The sequence below is a fragment of the Homo sapiens genome, chromosome 2, assembly GCF_000001405.40.
Source record: "Homo sapiens chromosome 2, GRCh38.p14 Primary Assembly".
NCBI lineage: Eukaryota > Metazoa > Chordata > Mammalia > Primates > Hominidae > Homo > Homo sapiens.
This window is the reverse complement of record NC_000002.12, coordinates 21951522-21977009: the sequence shown is the minus strand read 5'-3', so window position 1 is coordinate 21977009 and position 25488 is coordinate 21951522. Positions and strand designations below refer to the sequence as shown.

The 25488-nt window shown below is 36.5% G+C and overlaps 2 long non-coding RNA genes across 2 annotated transcripts in view; one reads left to right on the top strand and one right to left on the bottom strand.

The window, feature by feature from the left end:
• The window catches only part of LOC105374320 (uncharacterized), a 28997-nt gene extending 3643 nt beyond the window's left edge, over positions 1 to 25354 (bottom strand). Inside the window, exons 1-4 of the long non-coding RNA XR_939813.3 lie at positions 25321 to 25354; positions 25034 to 25184; positions 6066 to 6165; positions 1201 to 1393 (exon numbers count right to left, since the gene is read on the bottom strand). This is a non-coding gene — a long non-coding RNA (uncharacterized LOC105374320). The remainder of the gene's footprint in view (positions 1 to 1200; positions 1394 to 6065; positions 6166 to 25033; positions 25185 to 25320) is intronic.
• LOC124908056 (uncharacterized) overlaps positions 11358 to 25488 on the top strand; it is a 32435-nt gene continuing 18304 nt past the window's right edge. The window contains exon 1 of the long non-coding RNA XR_007088663.1: positions 11358 to 11653. This is a non-coding gene — a long non-coding RNA (uncharacterized LOC124908056). The remainder of the gene's footprint in view (positions 11654 to 25488) is intronic.

Here is a 25488-nt window from a genome sequence, read left to right as displayed (position 1 = left end):
TTATTATCCATGGTTTCTAGAGCAAGTTCCTTTATTTTTCGGATCCTTTGTCTACTTACTTGAAGAAAATTATCAACTGCTTTATCTCACATGGTTGTGCTGATGGAAAAATGCCTGATGTATGTTAAAGAACTTAAAAACCTAGGAAATGTCATGCAAATTTCTAAGACTTGTCATTACTGTGTGATTGTACTAACCCATATAGAACTTTGTAACAGAAGAATCATGTAATCAAGATGATTAAAATCTATAACAAGGATAGCATCTAGAGGAGGCTCAATATATTGACTAAAAGATAAGACTGAAGGATTTAATGAGGGTTGACAGGACTCTCTTGACTGTACATTGAAGCCAAATAATTGGGATCTCTCTGCTATGAACACTTGACATCAGAGAACACTTCTAGAAACCAAGAAATATATTTAGCAGAAAAAAAGGAAAAACAAATATTCAACAAGACAGAGATTACCGACATCCTGGAAGTGAACCCAAAAACAGATTCTCTTCAGCTCAGTCACAGCCCACCCAGAGATTAAAAGCAGCAGTCCTTTGTGTAATTTAAAATACTGAATAATATTGGAGCTGTAAGTCTTGTGGTCCCCGATCAACCAACCCCCTGAATCTCCCTGGGTTTTAAACAAATTGCTTTGTAGAGTAAGTATTGAAAGAACTTTGAGTAGACCAGTCAATCTTACTAAAAACACGTGAAGGAACTCATTGCACCCCCAGTGAATGGCTTTTCAGAACTCAGTTTGGGGTGCGTATGTGCATATGTAAGTGTCTCCTTTTGGTAAAGGAGAGACAGTATAAGCAGTGGCTAGTATTTCTGGAAGCAGTTATCTCTGCACTTTAATTCCTTTTGTTAAAATTAAAATCTAGAATAGCACTTAAATAAAGCAGCCTGTGGTTTCTGGAGAGATGAAAGATGACGTATTTGGGCTTATTGGCAGATGGCATCAGGAAAGAAACTGTGCATTAGATAGTGCCAATGATAAAGAAGGGCGGAAGCTACTGATACCATTCACCTGATTCCACGGTGCATTACTGCTGGGTTGGAAGAATCATTAGGAGAGCCAGTAAAGAAGGAGGGTGGGTGGTTGTAGTGGAAACATGAGAAAAATGTCGCCTTTTGAAATATTTTCAGAAAATAGTGTACTTACTCATTTGGTAGAGTATTAAGACTTGCAGGGCAATACTCACCAAAGACTTTCAGAGTCCAAGACCCTGTCAATCTTGAAAATGCATTTGCCTTGAGCTTTGAGTGTGCTAGTGGTGGGGGGTTAAGTATTCTCAGGTCTTTTGTAGAAAGGAGCCATTTGAAAGTTCTCAAAGGAATCTCTTACATATAGGCAGTTTCTTGAGTGTTATCTTTTTCTCTGTTTAGCTTGCTAATCTGAAAATAGATTTAAAAAACAGCATTTTTTTTTTTACTATATTGAAACATCAAATAAATAAGCTTTCTTGAGCCGATCCATCTCGGTTTTGTGCTAGGCATTGTGGCACTATATGTGGAGACATATACTACAATAATGGAAGAATGCACTTTACACCTTGAGCTTGAGGAATTAATGTTATGTTAAGATGTTTGCATGTACCATATAAATAAAAGGGAATGCCACATTATTTACCAAAGATGTGCACTATAAATTGTTAGTAATACTTAATATTTAAGGGGTAGCCTGACAGGGGAGACTTTAATTTAGTAAATATTTATCAAATATCTTTACTTATCTCTTCTTGATGACTTAGAACATAGAGATAAGTCAGCCACAGTCTTTGTTCTCTGGTTTCTTAAAAATCTTTACAGAGGTATTGCCAAATAGGACAATGAACATAAAAGTATAGGTTAGTAGTCAGTCTGTTATTTTTATATGGGAAGGTTAGAAATGAGTTAAAGTTAACTCAATTCTGGAAATAGCCTGCCTGCTACATTTTAATCCTAGTGCCACTGCTTTCCTAAATGAAAGCCCCAAATTGCCCATCATTTCTATATAATTTCATATTGAAAGTTGGGAAATAGCTAGGCTGAGTTAGCTTGATCTGATAACTCACTCCGTTTTCTCTCCAAGGCGCTAAAGCCTTTTTTGAGATCTCATTCCCCTTGATAAAGACATTCTGAAGTGATGCTTTTTCTGTCCTCTATTATGCAACAGACCGTTTGTTCACAAAGAGTGAGAATTGGAAAGAAAGAGTTTAGAAATCTCGCCGTTGTGGAAACTAAGACCTACTGTTACTCTTCATTTTCCTCTACTTGACATGCCCACAAAGTGCTATTAGTGCTGTTTCTCAGAGAAGTAAGAAATTCTGCTTAGTTGGTTTATCAGCAAAGGCTTCATGAAATGATTGGAATTTGAAAAGAAGTCTCAAAGCAGATTAATATTTTGATGGCAGTGATAGTGGAGACAGGACATTCCACTTGAAGTGGAGAATATGAGTGGAGGTACAAATATAAAACACTGTGGGACACAACAATGGCAGTGCATAGTTATAATTTGTGAGAACTTATCATACATTGATGTAAAAGTACTAGGTAAATTCTGGAATGTAGGTGTCAATGAAATTTTGGAAAGTGTTAAATGCTAAGATGTATGTTTCCAGTACACAGTGAGAGAGTCATGGAATGTTTGATTGGAATGTGGTTGAAATTAATCTCAGCAAAATGTATATGGCTGTCCATCTGTGAAATTATTTGGAATAAGGCAAGCAAATAATGGGCTATGAAAATAGTCAAGGCAAAATATCTGAGTCTGAATTAATTAAATGGCAATTGCCGTGGAGAAGCATGAGCACATAAGACCAATATTGTGAAGGGAAAATTCTGATTGACTTCACATATATGAGTGGGAATATAGTGAGTGGCTCTGATGAATGTGAGGAGAAATGGGAAGGTAAATGAAGATGACTCCAAGAGTAGGTGTCTGGTTGATCAGGAACATGAGGGTAACATTGCTGGCAAATGGATAATCAGAACGAGAAGTGGGTTGTTCCAGATGAGGGATGCACAGCCACTGGAGGTTTAGATGTTTCAGATGCAGGTGTGTATACATTTGCAAAGCTATATTTTAGAATGATGAATCTGCTGGGAGTAAGAGGGTATCTTGAAGGGGATAAATCCTTTGAACATCAGGTTGGTCATTGTTAAAAGCTTCACAAGGGCTAGGCACGGTGGCTCATCCCTGTAATCCCAGCACTTTGGGAGGGTGAGGCAGGTGGCTCACCTGAGGTCAGGCATTCGAGACCAGCCTGGCCAACATGGTGAAACCTTGTCTCTACTAAAGGCGGATCACCTGAGGTCAGGAGTTCGAGACCAGCCTGGCCAACATGGCGAAACCCTGTCTCTACTAAAAATACAAAAATTTGCCAGGTGGGGTGGCATGTGCCTGTAATTCCAGCTATTTGGGAGGCTGAGGCAGAAGAATCGCTTGAATTTGGGAGGTGGGTGTTGCAGTGAGCCGAGATCGCACCATTGAACTCTAGGCTGGATAACAAAGCAACACTTCATCTCAAAAAAAAAAAAAAAAAAAAAAAAAAAAGCTTCAAAACGCTCATTCCCAAATGGCAGGATACATAGTTAGGAAATAGTGAGGCATCATGGTGAATAATGCTGACTTGTGATTGTATAACTACAAGGGCTTGTGTCTAGCAAATGGTCATGCATATAGATTTTTAAGAACAATTTTTGGGAGCATGGAACCTACATAATTTAAATACAGAAGTCAGTTTTTACCAGAAAAAAAGAAAAAAAAAAAAACAGTCCTTACTAATTCTTCAGGAAGGCATGCACACATCCACAGGCAAGGAGGGGAGAACTCCATGTATTTCCATTGAGGGCCCCCCATAGTCAAAGGATTAAGACAAGAAAGACACTTATTGATAAAGAAATTTTAATAACTGGAAGGAAAGGATAACACTTTTCAGCTTACAGAACTTGAGTACAATTACCTGACATCTATTTTTAAGAAAGAGAAGGAAATTTAATTGAATGCACAGTTAGACATCTATCAAAATGAATTTTCTTTAAAAACGTCATATAACAATATCCCATTTCTCTCTCAGCATAATGATTTCTTACCAACAAAGCCTGTCAGTGTTTCCTAGAAGCAATATTGAAGTGACTTCTTGCTGGAAATTCAGCAAATGAACTTTTTTTGCTCCCAGAATCTCTCTCCTCATTAGGCTAGTTAGAAATTCGCCCGGGGCTCCCAGCCTGTCTTCTCTCTGATGGATGCTAAGTGTAGAGAAGCTAATGGACACTTTAACCATTAGGGGGCTTTCGATTCAATCCCCTGTAGCCTGGCAGCTCACTCCCAAGTCCTTTCAGCAGAGCTGCAATCATATGCACAAATATGATGGTTAAATATGGGCTAGAAGGAAAAATCACATTTTTTTTTCTCATGATAAGGGAGATACTTGTTAAAAATGGGAAATAATCTGTGAAGGTATTCAACAGGCTGGGACTTTCACCCCTTCAAGAGGCCCCTCCCACTGGACTGTCCCTACAGCAATTTGCTCCTTGCAAGGAACAAATGGGGAAGGAATCCCTTTTACCATTTCCAGGTGTGCTGATAACAGCCTCCTCCTATGAACCATCATATAATTGTTCTTTAAGTTACCATCTAATAGCAATTACTAATAGAATATAACAGGCTTACAATAGTTTGAATTTCAAATGAAAAAAACCTGGTGAGTAGCCTCTAAATGTGAAACATGTTTTATGTAAATATGTGTTATCTGTGAATAGGTTTAATTAGCCCTATTCCAATTACATTAACTTTCTTAGACTTTCCCTTTCCCTCCTTTGTACTCTTCCTGCCCTAATATCAGCATCAATAAATTGGTCAGTGATTGTTCTCTGATTGTCTATGCCCCGTTTTTTTTTTTTTTTTTCTCCATCATGTCAGAAGGTTTTTAAGTGATCATTTATTTTGTTTCTACTTCTCAGTTCTCCTCCAACAAGCCTGGCCCCGAAGCTCTGACTTTACAATTCATAATTGTGTTCTTAATCTACAAGTTAAATTTGGTTGGGGAAAACATGGGCCTGGTGTTTTAGACGGTTTAGATTCAATAATCCACAAATGTCTAGACATTCAAATAAGGTCAGAAAAAAAAATCTATTCTTTGAAATTTATTTAGCAATTCCAGACATTGATTTGGAGAAATGTGTCTTCCACAGGCAACTGAAAGAGAAATCCGTTCTGATTCTAAATATGCATCAAAGTGGCGAGACCCAGACCATCTTATCTATTTAAATGGAAGATCGTTTTGAAAGGTATAAAGATGCTCCTTCAAATCTGTCTGGTGCCATAGCATCAAGGCACAATTTATCCCAAATGACTGCCATTGCTGTGAGGCAAGAGCTGAATGTAAAGAGGCACTGGAGCTCAGAATTCAACACTGATGGAGTTGTTTTCCCCAGAATACTACCCTCATGATTTCTTCAAGTCTATTGACTTTTTTTTTTTTTTTTTGAAAAAAATAAGATGCATATTTTGTTCGGTGGCGCAGGACTTTCTGCTACAAGATCCAGCTCATGTGTCTCTGGTGACTACATAAGAATCAGAGCTTTCTGAATCTATGGCAACAATGTGTTCCTGTTCTAGTAATAGCGTGTCTTATTGTTATCTCTGATGGCATAACCTAACATAATATGACACATACTAGAAGAAGTAGTATGACAAAGTGGATCAGGCAGGCAATGCTGCACATGACAAATATGACATCTCATCTGAAACCAGTCCTGCATTTAGCAGATACTAACTCAAAGGGCATATCACTCTTGTCCATATCCTTCAAGCTTTTTGGTGATAAGAAGGCCACGTAAAGGCCACATCTGTTATAGGCATAGAAGTAAGCAGTATCAGGGTCGTAACAAAAGCAATGTTTGAGAGGTTATGTGCCCAAGAAATCAGTTGAAGGAGGTGTAATTAGGTGGTGAGAGTGAAGATAAGCTATCTATCCCTTCTACCACTTGGTCTCTAGGACTGACAGCTACAACAAAGCAGTTAAAGTTGTGCTTCAAGAAGATCAAGTGGAGTGGACACTGCTGAGAAAGCTTTGATCTGTACCTTTAATATTTCACTGCAGAGAACTTCACAATTTGGTTCAAGTTCATTTCCTTGTTCAACTAGTATAGTTCATGCCTTCATTACATCCATCAGCCAGGATCTGGTCAAAAATATAGAAACCACTTTAAGAATTTCAAACAGAAGAAAATTTGGTACAGAAATATATCTAAAAATTGTTAGAAAGGGTTACAGGAAACACTAGGAAATGGTACAATCCAGAGATCAGAAAGTGGGGCAAGTATCTGAAACCCTTCTTCTAGGACTAGAGAAGCAAAAGAGAGAAAATAGAACTAGTGCATCAACCCTACCTACAAATGCTTTTTGAGCCCCAATTTTTCCATCCTTTTTCTGCTGCTTCTGCTGATGGGGACTGATCAGAATCTAACTGGAAAAGGAGTCCAAAGAATGTCATTTTTAATTTTCCAACCTCCTCAATACAGAACAGAGAACAAGGGGTAGAAATGGAGTTTAGTACAGACAGACACTATTTGGCCTATTATGCTTATTTTAATGAAAGGTGAACAAGGCAAGGATACATTTACATGTGTATAATGTATATATACATATACATGCATATACATGTACACAAGTAACTACAATATGTAGTGACAATGTGCTAAGCTTAAGTGTCAGGTAAGGGTGTGCTTATTCCTAGTTGTCTTTATATATCTGGGACCAAACAATAACACCTGCTATGTGCTTTTATTATTTGGAGGCAGAGGATGCAACATTTTCTATAGATATGGTATATTTAGCTACAGTACACATCAAATGCTTTAATATGGTTTACGCTTTAATCTTATTTGGCAAAGGTTTTGCAAATAATATTAGCAGTATAGTTCTTCTCACTTTGGAATGGATTTAAAATACTGTATGAGAACTGATATTTTGCTACTTACTGTCTCTTCAATTGTGGCACAATAAATGCTTGATATTTAAATTAAAGGTTGACCCCTCATGCCCAGGGAAGAGAGTCACACACAGTTACTATGTTATTAGAAATGGTTTTTTTTAAACCCACAGTTCCTTTTTAAGAGTAGCATAGAGTAGGAGAAAAACAAATTGTAAAAAATTAAGTAATTTACAATGTGAGTCTCAAAAGGAATTTTCTACAAGTTGTTGTTTTTTCATGGCACAGAAATGCCTCATTATATTGATCATCACTGAGAAGTGAGCTATTCTACTTAGCTGTTTTTTTAACATGACTACCTTCTTTAATTTTAATTATTGCTATATTTAAAGAGTAACATTTATTGTTTTCTTGCATATAAAACCAACATACAACAGAGGAGTTGGATCAAGACTGTAAACTGAGCCCTTTTTTTTTTTTTTTACTTTTCTCTGCACTAAAAGTTAACTGAAATTGCAGAAATAATACTTTTATATAAATAATAGAAAGTAAGAAAAGGTACAAAGCACAAACTTTTAGGAAATTCTGGAAGAGAGAGAGTGGTTGGGATAAATTTTCAGAGGGATCAAAACATAGAAAATTGCCAAATACCAACAAGAACACTCTTTTTTACATAAAGTTGAGAAAATCCAAGCTTTATAACAACTTCAAACCCAGTAGAGGCCTGTAGTAGAGTCAAATTACTGAATTTGGATAAACTGGGCAATATGGATGCTTTCAGCTCTCCTACTTATATGATTTTGTTTATCGTGTATGTGCATGCATGTATGTGTGTGCGTGTGTGTGTGTATATGTGTATGTAAGCGTATGTGTGTGTGCGTATGTGTGTTTACGCAGGTACATGTTTTAGTTTTATTGAGAAACTAACATGATGCTAAGATTCCTTCGCTTCCTTGAGTAAAGATTTTTAAGGCCAGATTATCCTTTAGAATCTCAGTATAATTTTATGTTGTCAAATATTTTCTTAGGTACTTATTTTTAAATTTAGTCATTTAATTGAAAGAGGTAAATCTGTGGTTAATATTTGGCGGTACATGGTTAAGTAGGGGCATGGATTTGACTCAGTCTTTTTATCTTGTCCAGCTTCTAAGATCATTGTCTGGAGGGTCAGTGGATAGGTATAACAGTTTAGCAAATTTGCAGTGTCTTGTAATCCTGATGGAAACTGTTCTCACTATCTGGTTTTGTTTGTATGCTTAAAAAAAATTAGTGTACGTAAGTAAACCTAAAGAATATGTATTTAGAAGTCCTTTTCTAGAAGTAACATGTCAAAATCTAAAACCAATAGAATTCATCACTTTTTACAAATCATTTAAGGTCCACCGCCTAGCCATTTTAGCCATTTGCCATGATTTTAACTTGGAATTTCGGTTCCAGACGAAATGTATAAGTTGACGTTCATGTTAGAGGGTAGGAGGAAGAGGTTTTCGGGAATGAAATGGCCCTGGAAACTTCGGAAATTACTCCCATGTAGTAAGGGATCTCTGGGGGTAAAAATAGAGAGTTTTATGACCTGCCAACTTGTTTACGAATGTATCAAGTCATGGTGAAAATGTCTACTTTTTTTCTGTCTAGATGAATTGTTCTTTCCCAGGATCACAATTGTGCTGTGAATGTTTAAATTTCATCCTAAATTTTTAACAATAATTTCCTAAATTCCAAGATAGTTGAAACCCAGCATCCCTCGTGTATCTTCACATTTATTTCAATCAAGTAGTGCTATATAATCACCTTCTTAACTCAAGTTCAAGGTAGATATTATCCTCATTTTGAATATAAGGAATTTGTTCCCACAGAGCAATGTCACAATTTTAAGCAATTTCTCAGTAATCACATAGCATGAAAAGTGGTAGATCTAAAATTTAATCCAAGTCTCAATGTTTCTAAAAACCATGCTCTTTATTTCCCTTTTAAAATTTATTTTTCACCATAGTATATAATCCTTAATAATATGTGATTTAAAGTAGGGCCTAAAAGGTGGAAAGGTGGAAATTTTAATACCCAGAATGATAGTGGTAAGCACACTGAAGGAGGAGAATAGGTAAAGATAAAATCAGAAGCAAGAACTCACATAGCAATCAGGAAGACCTCTACTTTCTCTGGAATGTGGAACGTATGTATAGCAGTAGTGTAAATAAGACAAAGATGGTAAAGGTATTGCACCCCAAGCTATTGTACCCCACACTGAGGGATCTACAAGAGCTTCTGTAGGAGTGGAGTGTCATTACAGTTGACTCATCTTTGTAATCTAGCCATGTATGCTGTACATCTTGCAGTGGAAGAGATTATAATAATGATAAAGCAAGTTAAGAGCACTTTGTGGTTGGTGTAAGTCACATGTGAAATAAAATTGTTTTACTTAAGGAGATTTTTGAAGAAATATTTAAATACAACATGATTTGTACACTGCTTGCTTAAATAATGTTCATCACCTTCACCTAAGAATTTGATAGGCCCTTATTTTTAAAGTGAAAGGATAAATTTAATTGTAGAAGTGCTGAGAATGGGGAGATGACAAGTCACCCAGGAGATGATGTTCAATAAACAATTTTGGATTAGATCCATCACAGAGCAGAGGACTGAATTTTAGAGCATTCCAAATAGAGGTGGTGACTGTATCCAGTACATAGCAATTGTTCAAATATTTATTAATTAAACTGAATTGAATTGCATTGAACTGAATGCAGTTGAACAGAAGCATCAAATACAACAGAGAAAAAGTAAACAATTAGAAAGACACAAAGATAGCTAAGTCGTAGTTTATAGAAGTACAGGAGGAGCAAGAAGTAATCACACAGGACAAGGCAGAGCAATGCCTGAAAGGAAGACTCTGGAAATGGTCACACAATGGTCAGTATGAGATCCAGAGGTCAAGGAATTCTGAAATATGTGAGTGGTGAAAAAGTAGAGCCAATTAACTATAGGAATATGAGAAAGACATGAAATAACAATCTTGCATTAATGTTTATTGAATATATACTCTAAGAAATACAAAAAATATATAACAGTCAAATGTCTTTAATGGGTGCAGGTGTTTGCGGCTTGCAAGGCAGGGAATTGGGCCAGGAGCTAAGATAATAATGAAATGGATCCAATATAGCAAGGGTACCCAAACCCAGGGCCACAGATTGGTACTGGTTTGTGGCCTGTTAGGAACCGGGCCGTACTGCAGGAGGTGAGCAAGCATTACTGCCTGCCTGAGCTCTGCCTCCTGTCAGAGCAGCGGCAGCATTAGAATCTCACAGGAGCATGAACCCTATTGTGAACTGCGCATGTGAGGGATCTAGGTTGCATGCTCCTTAGGACAATCTAATGCCTGGGGATCTAAGGTGCGACAGTTTCATCCTGAAACCATCCACCCCCACCTCCCTGCCATGCTCCCAGCCAGTCCATGGAAAACTTGTCTTCCATGAGACTGTTCCCTGGTGCCAAAAAGGTTGGGGACTGCTGCAATACAGAACCTATTCTTGAGGAGCTCCCATTTTTTCTATGAAAGATAAAACAAGTACACAAGTAGAAAAATGAAAGTGCCCTCAGAGAAGCCAACAATTTTGCCTTTTCCCCAAAGACATTCCCATTCTAGTGACATCTGGTGCTTCCTCATTAATTCCTGGGGAATGAGACGACCAGATACATTCTTTCTTTATTCGCTGGACACTATGAGCTCAGGGACTTTATCTGCCTTGTTCCTGCTGCTTGCTCAGTTCCTAAAACAAAGGTTGCTTAATAAAACACTTAAAAAAATGACGTAATGGATGGATTAGTAAAAGAACGGATCCCTAACCATTGTTCAGATGAAATGCTGTTTTACTTGACCTTCTTTTTCCAGTTGCATTTACCAGTCTATGTATTTCTCCTACTACGTCAACCCTTGGGGAAAAAAAAAAAAAAGTAATACTGTACTCAGCTGTCCTGTTTGAAATCTGCCACATTGTATCTCTCAACCTTGTGTTCTTAATTTGTTCCTTTAACATCATAGCAGCACGGCCCAGATAACTTACAAATACAATAAATGATACTGTTAGATTCTTTTGAAAGACAGAAAAATGCGATTTTCTTCACTTCCTCAAAATGATACAGCTTTTGAAAATATTAGACTTTTTACCAACTTCTGAATTCAGAGCTAAAGAGTTACCTTTCAATTACTTTCCACATGAACATAATGTGATTTGATATTGTCACCAGGTTCAGATAAATGGAAAATTATTTGTAGTTAGTTAGTCTGAGAGGTACTGAAGAACTCTGTAAAGCTGATCAGGTTTTGCTAGACTTTGAAATTCTTGGGGCCCCCGCAACCAGCAGATACATCCAATTATTTGAAAGGGTGATGAAAAAAGTTGGTCTGATTAAACTGAGACCATTCTCTGACTTCCTAAGCTCTCAGACAACTTAGGAACCAATACACACTGCACATGTCTCTTTCTGAAATGTTCTCCGCCTTAGTTTTTATGAGAGAGTGAAAGCACAGTTCTGTAATATATGAAGAAATCTGTGGATTCTGTAGAGACAGGAACAGCGTGACATAAATCTCAGGAAGGCATCTTATTTCACAAATTTCCCATTTGATTCCTGCTATTGTGTGAGGCTGGGCTCTTCATCTCTATCAAAATCAGTCTGGAAGCCTTCTGAGATTGCCTCTAGAAAAGCCAATACTCCCGCGGATTGGACCACAGATGCTGTAAGTCTGAATGTACATTTAAGTATTGGTGTGCTTTAAATTTAAATGCATGGCTAATTTTGTATCTATCATATCTTTATAGAGTACTAAGAGGATTCCTGAGAGAAGCAGCATTAAATCCACTCTTGGGGACGTTTTTGGGGGAGTAGGGGAATCAGATAGTCATATCTCTAAGGAAAATATGTTGTAAAGACCAGGGGATATGGCATAGAATTTAATGTCAGACTTAAAAAAAAATCTCATGAGCTGGAGAGGGGAGAGAAATATTCATACAAAAAGCATGACTTATGAGTGTTAAAGGCCAGGTGTAGAACAGATAAGGCAAGGAAGGACATAGGTAGTCTAGTGATAAGAACAGCTTTGGGCACAGATCCAAGAAAGACAAGGGAGTGGAGGATCCATGTCTAGCAGGAGTGCCTGGGAGAGGTGCCACAGGAGAGCCAGAAGCATCTGAATGTGTCCATACACAAGGAATTTTCTGTTTACTCTTTACAATAGGGTGGGTTTTCTGCTTAGTGGAAGCATTTAGGTTCAACATCTATACATTTAGAAGCCACTCTATGTCCTTGATATGGAAGAAGATTATGATAAAAGTAATGTTTTCAATTAGATCTACAATATTTATTGATAACATCAAATATTGTAAGGACTTAGTGCATATGGGACACTGTTCCTCTATATCTATGAACTAGTTTATCCCTCAAAACAATTTAATGAGACTGCTACCATTATTTCTGTTTCAGATAACCAAACTGAGAATCAGAAACGCTAAGTAACTTGCCCAAGAATGCATAGTAATAAAAGGTAGGATTGGGAAAAAAAACTTAGGCATTTGGGCTCCAGAGCCTGCTAAATCCTAAGCTAAAAGCTATGCTAAGCTTTTTGTTTGCTATATATTTTTAGATAATAAAGTTTTTACAATAAAATAACTTTTAATAGTTTTATATTATTGGTTACTAGGGATATATCAGAAGGTACTCAGTTCTCTTTTGGGTAAACAGTTTGTTTTCATTTTTTTTAATGCTATGATAAGCAAAGCTTCATGAATTTTTATCTTTGCAAACACACCTCCAGGAAAAATCAGTTCTTAGCAGTGAAATGACTGACTGGATCAAAGGATATGCATATTTTTAAGGATTTTGACATAGGCTGTCCTAAATCACTTTCCAGAAAAATTTTTCCCAATTTGCATTGCCCCATCAGATACTGAGATGGTAACTTTCTCTAAATTCTCACCAGAAATGATTATCTTTTTTAGTTTTGACAGTTTAACAATTTCCATGTTGATCATTATAGATTCAATTGGAATTTTTGATTATAAAAGTTAAACAATTTCATATGTTTAATTCTAATTTATATCTCTTCTGTGATTAAGTGATCTTAATAGTGTTTTGTAAGAGTACAGTTAACACTCCCATTGTTATAGCAAATGTTTTCCTTAGATATTTAATTTTAGAGGTTTTAGTGGTAAAAATGCTTTTAAATTAATAGTCCAATATATCAATAGTTTTCTCTAGCACATTGACATTCAGTTTGATGCTCAGAAATACTTTGTGTAGTCTCAAGATTATATAATTATTTGCTCTTACTTTGTAGTATGATTTTAATTTTTTAAAATTGATTTATTTGGATGAATTATCTAAAGTAGAGGGATTGCTTTTGTTTTTTCTCAAATAATTAGCTGCTTGTCCCAAATTAATCAAGTGACTTTTCAGCCACTAGTGTCAGTATGACCATAATTTTTTTCTTTAAGCCGTTAACATAAAGCATAACAGTAATTCATGGTATTGAGTAATGTTGAATTAATAATTACTTTATATTCTAATATGTTAGCTCTTTTCCCTGAGACCTTTATCTTAATCATCAGAATGTTTTTTGTTTTCTTATTGGTAAATAACCTGAATTTAATTACAAAAATACTATAAACTTATTGCAGAAACAAATCAAACAGTAGGAAAAACAGAAGAAAGGTAATAATCAGTATTTGGTTTTAAAGTTCTATCCTTCCATCTCTGTTGGTTGCTGCTTGTAACACGCATTTTTCAAGATAGTGTACATATTGCTTTGTAATTGATAATTTATTTAGTTATTTCATTTAATATATTTTTAGAGTTGCTTTAGGTTTTTAGCAAAATGTAAATTACAAGGAAGACAAATTTAAATTAGAAGGAACATTTGTTGCAACTGATGAACCTACATTGATGCATCATAACACAATGCACACAATTTATATTAGGGTTCATTTCTGGTGTTGTACAGTCTATGAGTTTCAACAAATGTTTAATGATATGTATCAACAATTACAGTCTCATACAGGGTATTCTCCCTGCTAAAAAATCCTCTGTGCTCTGCCCGTTCATTCCTTCACATTCCACTCCGGATCCCATGGCCACCACTGATCTTTGTACTGTCTATCTCCGTAGTTTTGCCTTTTCCAGACCCTCATATGATTGGAATCATATAGTATGTCACCTTTTAGGATTGGCTTCTTCCACTTAGCAATAAGCATTTAATTTTTCTCCATCTCTTTTAATGGCTTGATAATTTCTTTCTAGTGCTGAGTAAGACTCCATTGCCTGGATGTACCACAGTTTATCCATTCACCTACTGCCATACATCTTGGTTGCCTCCAAGTTTTGGCAATTATGACTAAAGCTGCTATAAATATCCACGTGCAGGATTTTGTGTGGGCATAAGTTTCTAATCGCTTTGGGTAAATACTAAACAACATGATTGCTGGATCATATGGTAGGAGTATGTTTGTAATAAATATTTAAATCAACAATATAGAATTTTTTATAGCTAAATATACATCTATAGCATCAAGTGTAATAACTATATAGTTTGGCACCAGGAAACGTGTCACAGTTTATTCAACTAATCACATATTGTTTCATTTTCAGGCGTTTTTCAAATGTTGGGCCTATTAAAATAATATAACATTCTTATATACAAATCTTTGGGGAAAGACGTTGTATTGTAAGATATTAAAGCATATGTTTTCTGGGGAGTGTTCATGCTCTTCCCCTTCATTCTGCATAAAATACCCACACCAAAGTCCTCTTCCTACAAGTATTGTTTTACAGTAAGGAATAACTTGAGTGCAATGAGATGTATGAATCTTAAGTGGACAGCTTTTAAGATTTTGTTTAACTATAACCCCGTGTCATAACTACCGCAAAGGAGGCACCTTCCTATCTACCCAGCAGGTTTGTCCCTCAGCTTCCATGATCTGTCCTAATGTTTTTTTTAGCCAAAAGCCTGAAATGCCAGGTTGGGAATGTTTCTAGGTCTTTCTGCCCCATCTTTGGCCTGGAAGCCCAGAGGGCTCATGTTGCGTTCCTCTTAGCTTCCTTAATCTCTCCCTCACCCCCATTACTGGGGAAGGGGAATCCCTCTCAGCACTCTTGTTTTAACTGCCTTCAAACTTTGGCCTGCTCTCCAGATGCCCTTTGAAGGGACCTGAGAATGAGTTGGAAAGGTGTTTCCAGAGTCTTGCCATGTCAGCTCACACGTGGTCAATTGACAGCCTGAGGGATGTTCCATTGGGTTACCTCTTCCTCTTCTGCATTTCTTCTGCATTGCGAAGGATGACAGCAGCAGTCTCTTCCTTTTTATGAAAGGCTCCTCAGTTTCTGTCATGTAGTTGATTTCAATTTCTTTGTGTCCTCAATCCTCTAAATCCTCTAATCGGTTTTCAAAAACTATATTATATTTTCCCAGTTTCCTTTTGGTGTTTGGGGAGAATGTTACAGTCTATTGAAACTTTCTACAACAGAAGCAAGTGCAGGACTCCTAGTGTTTTTGATTTTGTGCCCCCCATCTATTTATATCTCTTTATAGCTATAGATAGATATAGATAGATAGAATCTATGTCATAGTTAAAGAGACAACTATCATCTATCTTATTTATAATTCTAGAAACAGTATATTTTCCCTCTTATTTCACTGATGATGCTCTGTGTGGATCTTTTAAAAATTTTACTTATTAAGTAAATCACTTACACTACAATTACTTCTGCTAATTTTATTAATCATAATTCTACCTTTCTTAAGCTCATTTTTCCAGATTCATAAGATTTACCATGTTGTTCTTTTATAATCTTACTTAAGCTTCCATATTTTTATAATGAACTTTGGGGATTCATGGGGAAAGGTTGGGAGGGGGGTAACAGATAAAAGACTACATATTGGGTACAGTGTACACTGCTCAGGTGATAGGTGCACTGCAATCTCAGAAATCAACACTAAAGAACTTATCTGTATAATCAAAAGCAGCTATACCCCAAAAACTATTGAAATAAAAAAAGAGCAAAAGAATCTTAATGGAAAATAAAAGCATGTAAGGCTACAAAATTTCCCCAGTTATACTTTTGTTCTCATGTAAAACATTTTAAATTAAAATTTTTCATAGTTCTTATCGATAGTATTGCAATAACTGTTTTAATTACTTTCCATGAAATTATTATTTAGCAAAACACTTTTTTGTCATTTCCTACTGACATATTCCTAGCATTGGAATATCCACTAGTACATACTAGCTACTAGTATTTCGTTGTGTATAAAATATTTACTGTGTATAGTTTAAGAGTTCTTTCTTGAGTAGAATATAGTATTATTCCTAAATCCTCTAGAAGCATTCAAAAAGCATGTTGATGCTTTGTTTATAGAACACAGAGTTCAATATCTACCAATTAAGTCTAGTAATTGATTCAAAATTTCCATATCTTTACTCTTTCTCCAATTTTGTTGAGGCATAGTTGACAAGTAAAAATAGTATGTACTCTAAGTTGTACAACTTGATTCAATATATGTATCCCTTGTGAAATAGTCACCACAATCAAGCCAATGAACATATCCATCACCACACATGGTTACTTTGTAATTTTGTATTTTTGTATGTATGTAGTGAGAACAGTTAAGACCTATCTTCTTAGAAAACTAAATTTCTAAAAAATGGAAATTCTGATAAATATTAACCTGTGTGAATTACAGACTACTGATAATGCAGGTAGAGGTAGCACTTAGATCTCTGCCGCAAAATATGATAGAATTTATTTCTATAAGAGAGTAGTGGCAATGGAAACGTGGCTCAATCAATCATCACACTCAAAAATATAATATGAATCTTCTATTGATATGGTGCTTTACCTTTTCAAACTTATTTTGTATGCATTCTCTCCTTTATTTGAAACAACTAAATGTTTGGGTAATGTTGTTCCTAATTCATAGATGTAGCGACTTACTTACAGAAATTAAGTAGTTTCCCTAGTATCACGCAACTTTTAAGTGGCCAAGCCAAGGCTTCAACTAAATTTTTAAGACTACTAATTGTCTTCCCACAGCACTGAAATTGTCTACATAGCAGTTAAAGGTCTTTCTACTCAATTAATTTAAGAACCCAGATCAAAAATGTATAGAAGTCCATAGCTTAGGTTAATTCAGCAGCTGATCCAGAGCCCTGGTTATTTTTATTTTTCTCCTTATGATGCTCAGCAAGTTCACTCTTGTCTTCAGGCTTATCCTCTTATAGTCTCAAGATGGGTGCGGTGGCTACAAGCATCACATCCTTACACTAAAGTACGTGGGGTGTGATGGTGCCTATCATCCCAACTCCTTGGGAGAATGAAGCAAGAGGACTGCTAGATTCCAGGAATTCAAGACTGCAGTGAACTGTGATCATGCCATTGCACTCCAACCTGGACAACAAAGAGAGACCTCATTTCCAAAATACATACACACACACACACACACACACATATATATATGTATGTGCATACACACCCACACACACAAAGAGACATTCCTTTTTTGGTGGAGGGGAAGTGCTATATATGTATGTTTGTGTGTGTGTGTATGTAGATACATATACACATATACCTATAAAGCATATGTATATAAATGTATATATATATACACACACACATATATAGTACATCCCCTTCACCAAAAAAAAAGTCCCTTCCTTATGTCACTTTTTAAGAATGAAGAAAATTTTCCTAGAAGACTCCTCAGCAGAGATCCTTCAGAACTCAGTGGCCAAATTATACAGCATGTTCAACCCTAATCAATCATGGGCAAGAAAAGTAAAATTACTGTTACTATGTTATAATTATCAAGATTTAGACCTCGAGACATGACACGCTGGCCTCTGATAATGAAAAAAATAAAACCACAAATTTTTATTGTCAAGAAGCAAATTTCTATTGTCAAGAATAAGGCAGGGAGGTGGCTCTGGGTAGGCAACAAACAGTGTCTGTGATACAGATACGGAGATTGAAGATAAGAGCAAGAGAAGATGAGTCAAAAACTATTACAGACCATGCATCCTGGGAAATAGATTATTTATTATAGAGAGAAATATGAAAAGAACAAAGAGGTGTCAGTCATGATGGAAAGATGATAGCTTTGGTTTGGCACAAGTTGGTCCGGGAGATGGGATTTTCAAAAGGAATTGCAGGCACATAGTTACAAAGTTTGAAGCACGCAAGAGCAGCCAGAGTACAGATTGAGTCTTAAAAACTTCTTCATAGAAGAAGCAATGTCAATGTCATGGAAGCAAGTAAGATTACTGAGAGACTGGAAAAGAACAAAAACCGAGTATTAAGAATCATTCCTAATTAAGACTACAGAGTTAGAAATATGAATAAATGAAGAAGGCACAAATGGAAACAGAGTAGATATCATTAAAAAAAGGGATATGTCATTCCATTGCAAATGTAGACTATTAGACTCAACATTGAATAATTAACATCTCCATCTTTTTTCTTTATAAGCAAACACTTAAAAATCTTTAAATATTTCACCAAGTGGTTGTGCCACAATTTATTTAATCTTTCTTCAGTTTTCAGATATTTTCTTACTTCCAGTTATTTTAAAAATTCATCTCCTTAACCTTCCACCTCAGAATCTGAGTCAAGCAGTATATAGACCCAGAAGAGGAGAATAAAGATGTTTTTAGCAAGAAAATTGGTTTAAAAACAACGTTTACTATAGAAAGAAACTGCTTGAAATTCTTTTGGTGTAATATGTAATAAGCTTAGCCAGCAATATATTTTTTTCGTTTAGTTCAGAGATGATATTTACCCTCGCAAAGGCTTAACCACAAGGCTGGATTCAGGAAGGGGAAGAAGAATGTGAAGTAAAGAAGATAAACTTACACTTGTGTTGGATGACTGTGGAAAGAGAAGAAAGGAAGGCAATGGAAAGAGAAGTAGTCAGATGGGTGTCTCAACAGTTATTTTTTTAGACTTTAACCCAAATAGGTCAAAATGTGTCATGATTGAAAACAAACAAAAAAACATTTTGAGTTCAGGAGTCAGCTCTTCTTCATCTGGTTCTTTACAGACATTTAGGAGCCCTGCATAATTAATGGATGACATTGTGCAGTTAGAGAGAATTCTAGTTTGCTTTTCTTAGCTTTCCTGAATTCTTCTGTGGCCTGGATCCTGCATGGCAGGGGCAAGGTGATCCTACAACAAAGCTGGAAGACTGATTTGGTAGGGTGCCTGATGGAGATGACACAGAGTCAGAAAGATCTAGAATTTGAACTAGAACTTAACATCAGTTGAGTAAGTGGGGGAGAGATCATTAAGCTTCATTAGAAATCAGAGGAATTTATTTATATTTTATAAAACTAAAGATATCAATGCCAGCAGAATGACAATTAATAATGTGGTAGCTTGTTTCCAAAGTGGCCACCATCTTTATCTCTTTTTCCTTTAACACAAGGCATTCTTCTATCAAGAGATAGAGGCTGTGCCTCTACTCTGCTTGAATCTGGGCTTCCCTTTGGAATTCACTTTACCAGTGGAATTTGGTAAAAGTAATGTTCCGGGATTTCTCGAGGTTAAGTCATTAGAAGTCTTCAAGCTTCTACGTAGGTGTCTGAGAATACCAGTCACCATGTTATGAGAAACCCAAAACATGGAGAGGTCATGAGTGGGCTCTCCATTTGACAACTTAAAGCAAGTTTTTATCCATGGACAGCATCTGTTATCAGCCATGTGACTGAGAGATCTTGGACATTAAGCTTCGTCAAGTCAAGATGATTCTAGCACTACAGCTGCAATCCTGAAATATGTGAGGCTGGAACTACTCAGCTGAGCCCAATGCACCCAGAGAACTGTGAAAGTTTCGACTTTGTTTTAATGCAGCAAAAGATGAGATTAGTCCAAACATATCCCAATGGATGACTCTGCATCCAAGCCCAAAGTGGATCTGAGGGCATCTTGGTCTGAGGACTCTTTCACCATATAGGCAAGAGGTCATGTAAACCACGTTCCCAAATGCATCTTAGAGCAGAGCAGGAGTAAGAAATAGGCATAATAAAGACTGAACATTTTTTGCCTAAATACTAATCATTACCTGAAATAATTTAATAATCATTACCTGAAATAATTTAAAAATTATTATACTAAGCTAAATGTTAAAACAATGAATATAGTAAGTGGAGGCTTATGAGAAAGACTATTATTTTCTACAGAAAAATAAATTTCATTTTTATATAGGTTACATTGTAATTAAACAGAGCACAGACCAGTTCATCACAGGCTGCTTTTGTAAATAAAATACTGTTGGTATTGGAACACGGCAACACCCATTTGTTTCTCATTATCTGTAGCTGTTTTTGTGCTACCACATTTGCCACAGACATTGTGTGGCCTAAACTGTTTTCTATCTGGCACCTTAAAGCAAAAGTTTGCTGATCTCTACGTAAAGTAAAATTTGGAACCATGACTCATTAATCATAAAAAAATTGCAATTATATTTTCAGGGTAAATTTCTAGAAGTGGAATTGCCAGCTACAGAGTCTGTGCAACATTAAAGACTTTCGTACACTTTGGTCCTAATTTATCTTCAAACTGTATCAGTTTACATACGATCATATCCAACATGAGATGGCTAAATTCCCTATATTCTAGGCAATCCAAGAGTCAACTGGTTAGTCTATATTCTGTTGTTTATAAAAAAGGACATTTTGTACACAATTTTAAATCTGTATTTATGATCATTATCTAGAATACTTTTAAGAAGCAGAATTAGAGGATCAAAGGACAGTGTATTAAAATTATATCCCTTGCTATATATTGCCAAATTAATTTCCAGAAAAGTTGTACCAAAATACTTCCCCTTACATATGAAATTGATATATTTCACTTAATAAATGTCAAAGAAATTGACATACATATTTTATTTAGTAGTCTCAAGTTGTTGACATGTTAGACCAAAATTATATTCCATTTTTGTTTTAATTCACTTTTTATTCCTCAGGAAATTCAAATATTACCTATAAACTTATTAACTATTTTTATCAATATAAAAGGCATCTCACAGCTTTTATTTTTGCCAATTATTTTTGTTTTCCTACTTGTGTTTATATTATGTGAATTCAATAATACATTTAAAAAATGTGCTTATGAGTGAGTCCGCTATTGGACTGTCAGTCCCATTTCTGCATTGATCTACTTCTATACTAGTGTTTTTCAGAAATAATTATTTTAGATAATAATACCTTTTGGCATCTGATAGGGATCAGATATATTTATTGTTCTTTAACTTGTGTTTATTCGTATGCATTTTCTCCCTAAGTTTGTTTTAGACACAGCCTGTCAAAAGCCACAAAAGTCCTTTTGAAATTTGCACTGAGATTGACTTGGTATGCTTGAAATGCCATTTAATTTTCTTCTAAGATGTTTGTCACTAAAAATTTTTCTGAGTTGATTATAAATTAAATGGTTTTAATGTCAGGACTGTAACTATCTGTTCATTTTAATAATAGTTTTGGCACATATTTTCGTTTTTATTGTTTCATTATATTGATCTTTCTCGTTGTGGTTTAATTCCTTCGTTGACTATTTTAAATGACATTCTTTATTGTGTAAATACTTAAGTAAAAATTTTGCCATGAGAGGAGAAAAAAATGGTAATTTTTTAATAATGTGAATATAAACTATAAATACAAACTATAATGTAGTTTAGAAGCTCTTGATGTTTTTAAATAATAATAGTTTGGGTATAAATGGGGCCTTTAATTGGAGGATTCAAAGAGTGCACATAAATCATTTTAATTTTTAAGATATAATTGTTTCAGGCTTAAACTTTATGGCACTCAGGGCTCATTGATACTTGGCACTGGGGATAGGATGGGTTCATGGTGTTTCTGACTTATTTACATATCAACCCAATAGTAGTCTTAGAATGAAAATAGGTTCAGTTCCTTGGTCCTACTAAGTTTTTGATATCTATGCTATGGCTAAATATTCCAGTCTTTTCTATATATCAGCTGCCGTATTTTTATCTTTACTGTATATGATGTTTCTATGATGTCTTCAGCTGAAATGATTATATCAAAATTATTTTGATTTTAGCTCTGTCTTCTGTTGCTTCTTCCATAGCCTGATCAAAAATTTATTTCACTTCAGTAGCCTGGAGACATGGGCTAGTCTAGAGGTCTCTCTCGTGACCAGGAGAATAGGATGCTGCAAAACTCTGAGTAACATCTGATTCTCAGAGTAACAGCCAATCTGAGAACTGTTAATGGAAATATGACAGCAATAATGGGGCCCTCAGTAGGCATTCTAGGGACTGGGCCATCAACCAGAAGTGCTAATCATAATTCTTAATTCCTTTTAAGATGGGACAACCAATAAAGATGATATCAGGATCCCTAAAGAGGTTCTTTGGAGAGAACCCAAAAGTAAGCACGACTTAATACTAGATGTTATATTAACCAAAACACAACAGACTACATTCATAGGATGTGCAGCTTGGGATGCAGGGATCTATGCCCACCAACCCAGGGGCTGCTGCTTGACTGCTTTTTTCTTACTGGCATCCCCTCTCCCACCCCTACCATGGATGGAAGGCAGTCATCTTTGAGGACAGATTTGGTACCATATTATAGGTCCCAAGTATAAAACATGTTTTTACCCAGGATGCCAGGATAATTTGCCTCTCCACCATAATTTTTATATCCCAATATACTTAGTCCCTGAGCATTGAAAAAGCCTATTGAAGAAAAGTAGAACATCACTAGTTCTTCCAATTTTAGACAAAAATTAGTGCCCTATCCTGACTCCAAAATAGGTGCCTTACAGTCTTTGTTTTTGAAGCGTCAGAGCGTGTGTAGACTGTCAGACAGGCCCTGGCCTACACTCAGGGGCATTCAAGCGGCCATGTCCTTCCCTCTGACATCTCTCTCCACAGCTTTCTTCTCTTGACTTCTTGCATTGTCTTTCTAACTTGTTTTTCAGTTTGGCTATAGTCTCATTCCCTCAGCTTTTTCTCAGCTTCTGATTCCCAGTTATTTGGCTCTAGTTTTGCTTCTCCCCAGGCATAGCACATCTACCATGACGATCATCTTCTTTAGTGAGCTCATCAGCTCAATAGTGGAGGTACAGGCATGAAACTGTCCTATTTTTCTCCAATAGCTGTTCCCAACTATGCTGTGGAAGTCTCTCCTTCCTAATGGGAAATACATATTCTAATAATACTTTCAGCAGATTCCATAACTATCTTGTCACTTAAGAGTCATTAAAAGTCAATACAATCCAGCTTAAAACTAAAATTGCATGTCTACATCAAAACTGTCCCTCGTCCATGGTTTGACAGATCTGAAGTGAGGAAGGAGTGGAGTGTGGTGTGACTCTGGTTTACATTCATTCAATAATATTTATTGAATATCTACTGGATGAAAGGTTCATATCTAGGCAATTAAAATCTAGGCAATTAAAATCCATCAGTTACTGTCAGAGTAGGACCTGCTATATAATTTGTGGGGCTCAGTGAAAAACAAAATTGCAGGACTTTGGCCAGAATCTTCCTCTTTCAAGAACCCACTGAGCTAATTTCCCACAGACAGCCAGACCATGGACTTTAAATGCCTGTGCAGGAACATTACTGCTCAGTACCTACATTGGGGATGGGTAAGAAATCCCCACTTAGCCACCTAAAGAACATATGTCAATTGCCAACCCAAGGCAAGAGCCACTGCTGCATTTCCACATTCTCCTGCTACCCAGGTCCCTGTAGGGATGGAGGGCAATGGTGAAATATAGACTCAGTGTCACCACAACTTCAAGGGTAAAGAAAGATGAAGCATTCCCAGCACACCGGGAGACTGAAACAGGAACATTCCTAGAGGCCAGGAGTTTGAGACCAGCCTGGGCAGGGTAACAAGACCTTATCTTTACAGAAAATTTAAAAAAATTATCTAGACATGATGATGCTTACTTGTAGTCTCAGCTACTCCGGAGGCTGAGGTGGAAGGATCAGGTCGCTTGAATCTAGGAGTTTGATGTTGCAGTGAGCTATGATCACACCACTGCACTCCAGCGTGAAGTGCGAGTGACAAAGACAGACAGACTCTGTCTCTAAAAAAAAAAAAAAAGGTCAGGCAGGACCCAGGAAGCCAGGAATTTTGAAGTATGCAGCCAAAAAATTATCCCAGAGAGGTAGCAAAAGTCAGGACAGAGCATGAAATGAGGCCCCTCCCAGCTCATGTTACACTGTCCTGACAGACTTCACTGACAAAACACATAAATGTACTAAGGATTCCAAGACATAAACCACAGAGTGTTAAGCTTCAAATGTATGTAGGGCCCTTATAAGCTCAGGGCCCTATGCCAGTGCCCTAGCATATGTCGATGGAGCTGGCCCTGTTTCCTGGTCAAGGACATTTGTCCTATGGGCTTTTCACTTCTGCCATAGGGAACAGAAAATAACTGACAGACATAGTGAAAAAGGAAGAATATTGCATATTACAAGGTGAGAAGTTGTAAGAAAAAAGGCAGCAGCATAACTGGGTGACAGTGATAAGGAGTTTTGGGAAAGGAAGCATTAACTTGGATAGGTGAGCCGGGCCTCCTTGAAGTAAGAGCTGAACCCAGGCTTGTGGGACATGACACCCGTGTTTGATCAAGCTAAGGGAGAAACAGAGCTAAAGACCCTAAAGTGCCTAATGTGCTTGACGAATGGTAAGGAGGCCAGTGTGACTGCAGCAGGATAAGAGAGGGCCAGGATGGTGGCACATGAAGTCACTGAAATAACAGAACCTAAATCACGTAGCATCTTCTAAGTTACATAAGAACACTGATTTGCATCACTGCAAAATGTTGAACAGATGAGTGAAATGTTCTGATTGAGGTTTTATATGCATTGCTTCTAGCTATATATTGAAAGGGGACCTTGAAAACTCGACCCTCTATTCAGATCAGGGAGGTATCACTGGGGAGTCAGAAGTGGTAGGACTAAAGGTATATATTGATGGAAAAGCCAAGAATGTTTTCCTGTTAAATAGGATATGGGTTATGAGAGAAGGGGAAGTGTTAAAGACGATTCCCAAGTTAATTTTCTGAATAACTGGAAGAATGAACTTACCAGTAACTGAGATAGGGAGGCTTCAGATAGAACAGATTTGGGGTCACGGAAAAATCAGGACTTGGTTTTGTACATGTTGAGAAATCGTCCAAATGGAGAATGAAGTTGGCAGTTTGACTTAAATGTTTGGAACTCAGGTGAGGGCTCTGGGCTGCAATGAGATAATTGTTCATTCACCATTACTAAGGATCCCTTACCTCTTCCCCCTTGTGCATGTCAATTTCTCCACAGCAATAAACGGTCTCTTACTCCATATGCCCAAATTTAACCCATCCATTTTTATTTACCTCATTGTCCACTTCCTCCTTCCTTCCATCCTTTCTTTCTCTCTTCATCACCTCCTTCCTGCAATAAATGTATAGTGATCATTTACTGAAGGCATCAGTATAATCTAGAGGTTAAGAACATGAACTCCAAATGCAAACAACTTGGAGTTTGAATGTGAAACCTCATGT